We start from the raw sequence: 8,402 nt of genomic DNA, 5'->3' as shown, positions 1-8,402 counted from the left end.
AATACCTTTGGTCCATTCCGGGGCACTTTCTTACCCACAGGCCTCCCCACCCCCTGCCCCCTACCTGGTTCTCCAAGTCCCTGGACCTGGGCCATCTCCATCTGGGCAAGTCGCCCACAGCTCTGTGCCCAGCAGGGTGGCCCCCAGCAATGTCACACACACTGTCCTCTCTGCTGTCCTCTGCCAGGGCTGATCTGTGCCTGAAGTCTCCTTGCCACCCATCCATTCCTCCACCCTACCAGGCACTGTGCTTCACATTCTTTTTTTATTATTATGATTTGTTTTGTTTTTTGAGATGATGTCTCACTCTGTCACCCAGGCTGGAGTGCAGTGGCACGATCTCGGCTCACTGCAACCTCCACTTGCTGGATTCAAGTGATTCTCATGTGTCAGCCTCCCAAACAGCTAGGATTACAGGCACATGCAACCAGGCCCAGCTAATTTTTGTATTTTTAGTTGAGATGAGGTTTCACCATGTTGGCCAGCCTGGTCTTGAATTCCTGACCTCAGGTGATCCACCCACCTCGGCCTCCCAAAGTCCCCACTCCCGGCCCACATTCTTTTTTTTTAATTGATGCATAATAATTATACACATCTGTGGGGTACATATGGTATTTTGATACATGTATACAATCTGTAATGATTAAATCAGGGTAATTGGCATATCCATCACCTCGAATGTTTATCATTTCCTTGTATTGGGAACATTTCAAATCTGCTCTTCCAACTAATTTGAAATATACAATAAATTATTGTTAACTAGAGTCACCCTACTGTGCTGTAAAACTCTAGAACATATTCCTCCTATCTAACTGCATGTTTATACCCATGAACCGGCCTCTCTGTATTCCTCCCAACCCCATTCCCAGCTTCTGATAACTATCATTCTACTCTCTACCTCCATGAGAACAACTTTCTTATCTCCCACTTCTGAGTGAGATCATGACCTGCTGCTCTGCTGCTGAAGGGCAATGGCAGCAGTCCAGGGCAGGTGGCCCTCAGGTTCTGGGGAGCACACACTTCAGGTCCCTTTGTCCCCAGGGGAGACTCCTTGGCATGCTGCATCACCCATCCCTCAAGGTATAGGATACTACGTGGGCTAGAGTGCTGGGGACTTGGTCACACTCCTGGGTCCAGCCATTGTTGCAATGCTGCAGCCCCCTGGGTAGATGTGGGGGTTGTGGGTGGGTCTCCAGGGATGTGGAGATGCAGGGGTTTTTGGGCCCTGGGCAGGATATAGTCTGGTGGTGGCTGGGTTCTTAAGATGGTGCTGTGCTGCAGCTACTTTGATCTCAGGGGGTGTGTGGACTCGGCATGAACACGATCTCTGGAGAAATGCAGTCGCATGGGCTCCAGGCAGCTCTCCATACTTGTCTCAGGGCCCATGAGGGCTGAAGGACTCTCCCATGATGAGGACTGCAGGAGTCTGCAGTGTAATGTGGACCACTGGGGATCTCTTGCTTACCTTTTCCCCTCCTGGCTCTGAGCCAATCCCTGCCTTCTCCTTCCATGCTTTAGAAGTTCCCTGTCACTTCCCTGCTGAATTCTAGTGTTCTCTCTTGGAAGCTCTATTTGATGTTTGGTTATCTACTCGCTGTTTTGGTTGTTCTTGGTGGAGGAGGCAAGTTCTGGGCCCCTCTAATCAGGCTCCTGGAAGCCCCTTTTCTGTGCATCACATTCTTTACATCTCAACTCAAGGCCTCCAATCACTCCAGGAAACATTTCCATTACCCCTCCCCCAAGACAGAGCTAGAAGCCCACCCACATCTATGAGAAGTATGTTGGAATTGTGTGTCTCCTCATGTGTCTTCCTAACTGGAGTGTGAGTCCTTAAGAAGAAAAGCTAGGTCTCACTCATCTCTGTAACCCCAGCACTTAGCACAGGCCCCAGGGCATAGTGTGGGTACTAAGTGCATGTGTGGTGAATGGATGGATAGATAGATGAATGGATGGGTAGGTGGGTGGATGGGGGGATGGGTGGATAGATGGGTGGGTGGGTGGATGGATGGATGGATGGGTGGGTGGATGGGTGAAAGGGTAGATAGATGGGTGTGTGGATGAATGGATGAATGGATGGTTGGATGGGTGGGTGGATGGATGGATGGATGGGTGGGTGGATGGGTGAAAGGGTAGATAGATGGGTGTGTGGATGAATGGATGAATGGATGGTTGGATGGGTGGATGGATGGATATATGAGTAGGTGGGTGGTTGGATGGGTGGATGGATAGATGGATGGGTGGATGGATGGATAGACGGGTGAATGGGTGGGTGGATGGGTGGATGGATAGATGAATGGGTGGGTGGGTGGATGGATAAATGGGTGGATGGGTAGATAGATGGGTGGGTGGATGGATGGATGGGTAAATGCGTGAATGGGTGGATGGGTGGGTGAATGGGTGGCTGGGTGGCTGGGTGGCTGGGTGGCTGGGTGGCTGGCTGGCTGGCTGGCTGGCTGATTGGCTGACTGGTTGACAGGATGGGTGAGTGGATAAATGGACAGATGGGTGAGAGGGTGGATGAATGAGTGGATGGGTGGATGGATAGATGGAGAGTTGGCGAGTGGATGGATGTGTGTAGGTAAATGAGTCTATTTCATGGCTTAGAATATTTTCTATGATGAGACTCATCCCAGCTCAAGGACTTGAGGAAGCCCAACCTCATCATCTGTGATCAGTATACTCTTCTCAATCCCTCAACTATTGCCCAAGAGCCCCTTAGCCAGTCTGAGTCATTTCTCCAAAGACCTGTTACTTAACCTTCTAGCAGCCCAGCTCTCCTTTTAATGAAATTCCCAAGTTTGGGAACTTCAGATTTCAAACCCTCCTTAGGGCATGTACATTGTGTATTGAGAGACAGTGGCCCTGGGCTCACCCCTGAGGTGGATAGAAGAGAAGATTGTTCAGGGGATCCACTGGACCCTTTGCCTCAGGGAGGTTCTATATATTGTTGGGGCTGAGGAAGGACAACACCAGGAGTCCTGGTCCAGTCTAGAGCCATTCAGTAGAAGTTACCCCTGGTCATTCATTCATATGTCAATGCTGGGGAAAAAGTGGCAAGCAAAAGAGACGAAAATCCTGGATTTCATGGAGCTTATATTCTAACTGGGGGAAACAGATATAAACAAACAAATATATAAACTGTATGATATGTCATATGGAAACGCATAATGAAGAAAAATAAAGTAGGGAAGAGAGACATGGGGGATGTTTGCAACTTTAAATAGGGTGGTGAAAACTTGATATTGAATAAATAAATCCCTAATGCAGATGAGATGATGCCATGTAGACATCTGAGGGGAAAGCACTCCAAGCAAATGGAAAAGCAAAGATAAACCTGGAATGTTGTTGAAACTTCAGGGAGGCCACTGTAGCAGAAACAGCATGAGGTCAAGCAAGCCAATAAGGGATACGGTCAGAGCAGTGATGAGTCCTGCGGGACCTTGAAGGCACTTGAAGGTCTCTGGCATGTACTCTGAAAGAGATGGGTAGCTATTGGATGAGCAGAGAATGACATCATCTAACTTACATTTTAACTAGATCACTGGGGTTGCTATATTGAGGATAGATTATAGTGTAGAAGCAGGAAATCTGCTGGGAGGCTACTGCAATAGCCCTAGCATGAGATGAGACTGGCCCGGACCAGGTTGGTAGCAGTGAAAGTGCAGAGATCCTCTATATTCATAGAGGCAAAGCCTGTGACTGAGGGCTTTGCTCAGGGACTTAGGCATCTGTGGATTTTGATATCCGCAGGAGTACTGGAACCAATTCCCCAAGGATATGGAGGGCTGACTGTAGTTCAGAGTGGTCAGATTCTGGGTCTGTTTGGAAGGCAGAGCCACAGGCTATGTTGATGGATTGAATGCAAGATGTGAGACCAAGAAAAGAGTCAATGTTGACCAAAAAAAAAGTTACCCCTGTGCACCTGAAAGAATGGGGTTGCCATTTCTTGGGATGGAGAAGACTATGGGAAAAACAGACGCTTTTGTCTTGCTTGACTGTGCGGTTTTATTTTACATGGTGAGGGGAGAGTGAGAGTTCATAGTAAAGCTGTTTCTTGGACATCTAGGTAGACCCATGGGTAGGCAGTTCCCACTAGGAGTCTGGTGTTCAGGGGAGAGATGGAGCATCTTTGGTGTCATAGTCTGAAGAAGGGACTCTCTCTCTGGGTCCTCCATTTCCTCTGTGCATCCCTGGACATCCCTGGAGTAAAGCCAAAGGCCAAGAACTATGATTCAGAGACCTGGGTCTTAGGGGAGCAGCCTGGGATAAGAGTTGAGTGTTCTGGAGTCTGGGTTCAAATCCCAGCCTCACTTCCTAGCAGTGTACTTTGGGCAAGTTATGGAACTACCCTCTGCCTCCCTTTCCCCTGAAAATTGGAGATGATCCCAATGTCATGGAATTATTATAAGGATGAATGAGGCAGTTCATGTAACTGGCTTAGCACAGTGTCTGGCACCCAGTAAGGGCTTAGGAAGTGTTAACGGTCATTATCAGTTTCAGCCCTACCACTTATTAGGTTTGTAACTCTAGTGACTAGATGCACTCTCACTTTTTTTCTTGTTCTGTCCCACTATGACTCCAACAAAGACAAAAATCTGAAACCTGAGACTTTCAGCTCTCCAAGAGATCCTGCTGTCTTTTGGAACCAGCTCAGCACTCTGCAGGGAGAGGCTGCCAGGCTATTGCCAAGAAAACTTCAGCCTCAGAAGCAAGCTGTTGAAACAGGGCTGCCCCAGGGCTAGATGATAAAGGTAAACACTGACTCCAGCATCCCATTTCCTCTTCCCTGGTATTCCAGCCAGGGCTCTACTCCCCCTCCCGCCATACCTTAACCTTGTCTTTGCTGATGCCTCCAGCTCTCCCAAAGCTCTGGGCTTTTGACCTTGCAGCCTGCCCATGGCAGAAGGCTCCCTAGGAGGCTCCCCAGTCCAGGGAGATGACTCTAGTAACTGGCGAGACTGAATTCATCCTTATTCCTATCTGTTCTGGAAAAACCCTGTGTGTGTGCCTTAATGTTTCCAGCTCATTGTGCAAATACCCTTACTCACAGCTGAGTATCTGCACTGAAAGCTCAGGCAAACGAACATTGTAGCTCATCCTGGGCTGCTGGGTTTTGATCCCAAATGAGGCTACCAGTATATGTGGAAGAGAGCTTGAGGGCACTCCTCCAGTTCTAGGTCATTCACAGATGGGACTCTGCCCCCAGAGAGCTGAGTGCTTTGATGCCACTGCTATGGCCTCCTGCAGAATTGCCCCACCCTCTGTCCCTAAAGCCATATCCCCAGTCCATGCCAAAGGGCACCAGGGAAAATGGCCTTGCAGGCCTCTTAGGAGAGGCCAATGCCTCCTGCCCCCAGATGAAGACTCATACAGAAATGTCTTTATGGAAGTCCAGACACGTTTCCCACATCTGGGAAGCAAGCGTGGAGTGGGGTGCGTGCTGTGGCCTGAGAGCGCAGAGTGAGGGCTTTCACGTCCACTGCCAGCTGTGCGGCCCCACACTGCCATCTTCCCCTGAGCCTACTGTCCCCAGGCCCAGGGCCTCAGATCCAGTTCTCCAGAGAGTAAATGTCTTTGGAATATGGGTTATGGGAGTAGGTGAGTAGGTCCCTGGCTGGAGGTGGGAAAGGAATCCCAGTCTCTAACTGCTCCTTAAACTTCCAACCCATCTTCTCGTTTTCAGCTCCTTCATTGTACCCCACCCTTTAGAGATTTCTGGCGCTTCCAATTCTTAAGAAGCTTCCTTCACATTGACTTCTCAGCCGCAGGCTAGGAGGTGTCAGTTTTCTTCTCTCTGCTAATCGGTTTCATCTCATCCATCCTCTTTCATCTTGCAACACTTTGTTGACATTTCTCATGGCCTAGACCCAGTGGATTTAAGTGTTTCTGATTCTTTTGTGGTTCTTTAAGAGGAGCTTCCAGAACAAATGAGTTTAATCTCTGAATTTAAATGGAGCCATCTCCAGCTTTTAGTTGCTACGTCCTGGCTTTAGATAAATAAATAACTACAAATGTGTATATAAGGACACTTTATGTATTATCATAAGCTACCTCAAACCCTTACAGCCACAGATTCAGAAACATGTACCTAAAAACACACCTCTGACACATCTTCCATTTTTAACAAAGCAGTTCCTACTGGTTTATTCAAAGGAATTAGAAGGTAATAATGAGTTTCAGGTAGCAGCGAGAAAGCAGAGACTACACTTCACCCAAGGGGAGCCTCCTGAAACCAGAGGCAGCCATGTTGTTTATGGAGATATGGGGGGGAACAAAGAAGGTGGGATGAGGCCCCTCGCCAGTGCAGCATTTCTGCGTTATAGGAGCAAGGACGGAGAACCAGAGAGGGTCTCTGACTTGCTGACGGTCACACAGGGGCAAGGCTGGGCTTGATCCTGGCTGTCTGATGGGGGCCCTCCACACCCTGGGTGCCCGGATGGGACCCCTCGGGAGCAGGCCTTGGGGCAGCAGTGGAGGAAGTGGGAGCAGGTGTGTGGTTGGGGAGGGGGAGAGGGAGGGGCCAGGAGTCTCATCAGCCAGATCCCAGCTCCATACTTTTACAGGATGAGATGGCTTTTTTGGGATGGGCACTGATTTTCCCTAGGGGATGCTGGGGCCCTGGGCAAGCTCTATTGTTTGACTCATTCCAGTCAGCCCTCTGCCTCCCAGGCCATGCTGAGGCTGCAGGTGAAGGAGAGGGGAGAACCCCTTACAAGGGCGTGGGGAGAAGGGTCTGGAAAGGTGGCCTTCCTGCCACATTCTCTCCCCTGATTGCTGTGCCCAGCCTGGCTACTGCCCTCATCCCTGCTGTCTACTGTGAGGAAGGAATGATAGGTGCCTATGAGAAGTCTCCAGGAGGGGGACTCCCTCCAAGTCTTACCCCATCCTACCCTGGCCTGAACTTTTCTTTTCTTTTTTTTTTTTTTTTTTTTTGAGACGGAGTCTTGCTCTATCACCCAGGCTGGAGTACAGTGGTGTGATCTCAGCTCACTGCAACCTCTGCCGCCTGGGTTCAAGCGATTTTCCTGCCTCACCCTCCCAAGTAGCTGGGATTATAGGCACGTGCCACCACGCCCAGCTAATTTTTGTATTTTTAGTAGAGACGGGTTTCAGCATCTTGGCCAGGCTGGTCTTGAACTCCTGACCTCATGATCCACCCGTCTCGGCCTCCCAAAGTGCTGGGATTAGAGGCATGAGCCACCACGCCCAGGCTTTTTTTTGTTTTTGTTTTTTTGAGACAAGGTCTCCTCTATCGCCTAGGCTGGAGTGCAGTGGCACCATCATAGCTCACTGCAAGCTTGAACTCCTGGGCTCAAGCAATCCTCCTGCCTCAGCCTCCCAAGTAGCTAGGACTACAGGTGTACACCACTATGACCAGCTGATTTAAAAAAAAAAAATTATGTAGAGTCAGGGGTCTCACTGTGTTGCCCAGGCTGGTCTCAAACTCCTAGCCTCAAGTGTTCTTCCAGCAGCCTCCCAAAGCCCTGGGGTTATAGGCATGAGTGCTGAGATTACACTACACCTGGACAGGTTTTGCATTTCAATAAGTCTTCATACTTGTGGCAGGGCAGCAAGCAGGGCCGGGACTAAGGTGAGGCAAGCAAAGGCCCAGGATGCAAAACGTAAGGAGGCACCTAACCTCAAGCTCATGCAAGTGCAGGGCTGGCGCTTGAGAGTGAACGCCTCCTGTCCCGGCCCCAGCAGAAAGCTACTCTTCTACCTATAGCTGCCCTAGAGCTCTGTATCCCAACAGTCCTAATCCTGAGGCTGAGACCAGGCAGCCAGCATGGTGAGTGTGTACAGCTCCTTTTCTGGAAAAGGGCCTCCTCCCTCAACCTATCTCACCCCAATACCCATTCTGCTAACATCCTGCGGTCCAGGATAGACAGTTTGTGCTGAAATGCCACCTCTCCTCTGGCCAAGCCTCTCATTAGGGCACAGGGTGAAGAAAACAAAGGAAGGGGAGGGTTCCTTCCCCGCCCCCAGCACCTCCCTTTCTTTTCCTGCAATCCTTGCAAGAGCAGCTCATTCCCTCCCCACACCCTCTTGGGTATTGACGGCTCACATGGCTCGAAAGTTCTTCCTTATAAGGATGGCTTTGTGAGTGACAAGGTTTTATATTAGCTCCTTCTTTCCTCCCCTGATTTAGACACAAGTCTGTATTAAAGAATGTTTGAGAGAACAGTAATTATATTGCTTTGGAGTAACTGCTAACAAAGTATTTCCAGATAAAAATCCCTCAGGGTCTACTTTAAAGAAGAGATAAGACTTATTTGCAATTAGCACAAGCTATTTACATACAAACTGTTGCACCGAAGTCTAAAAAACACTCTCACTTTTAAGTAGGTTAAACAAAAGCCTTCTAATGTTGTTTTCTTGGTTCTTTGGCTAAACAACCCTTT

The 8,402-nt window shown here is 49.3% G+C and overlaps 1 annotated feature.

Annotated features, from left to right (window-relative positions):
• Positions 7,419-8,251: an enhancer, noted in NCBI's record as "H3K27ac hESC enhancer chr18:44046140-44046972 (GRCh37/hg19 assembly coordinates)". NCBI's record gives its function as "activates a minimal SCP1, AML or CMV promoter by ChIP-STARR-seq in naive H9 embryonic stem cells {active_cell/tissue: H9 hESC(naive)}" and the evidence as "EXISTENCE:reporter gene assay evidence [ECO:0000049][PMID:30033119]".

Source organism: Homo sapiens, chromosome 18 (assembly GCF_000001405.40).
Source record: "Homo sapiens chromosome 18, GRCh38.p14 Primary Assembly".
NCBI classification, from domain to species: Eukaryota; Metazoa; Chordata; class Mammalia; order Primates; family Hominidae; genus Homo; species Homo sapiens.
Note: the sequence above shows the minus strand (reverse complement) of the source record. Positions and strands in the feature narration are given on the sequence as shown.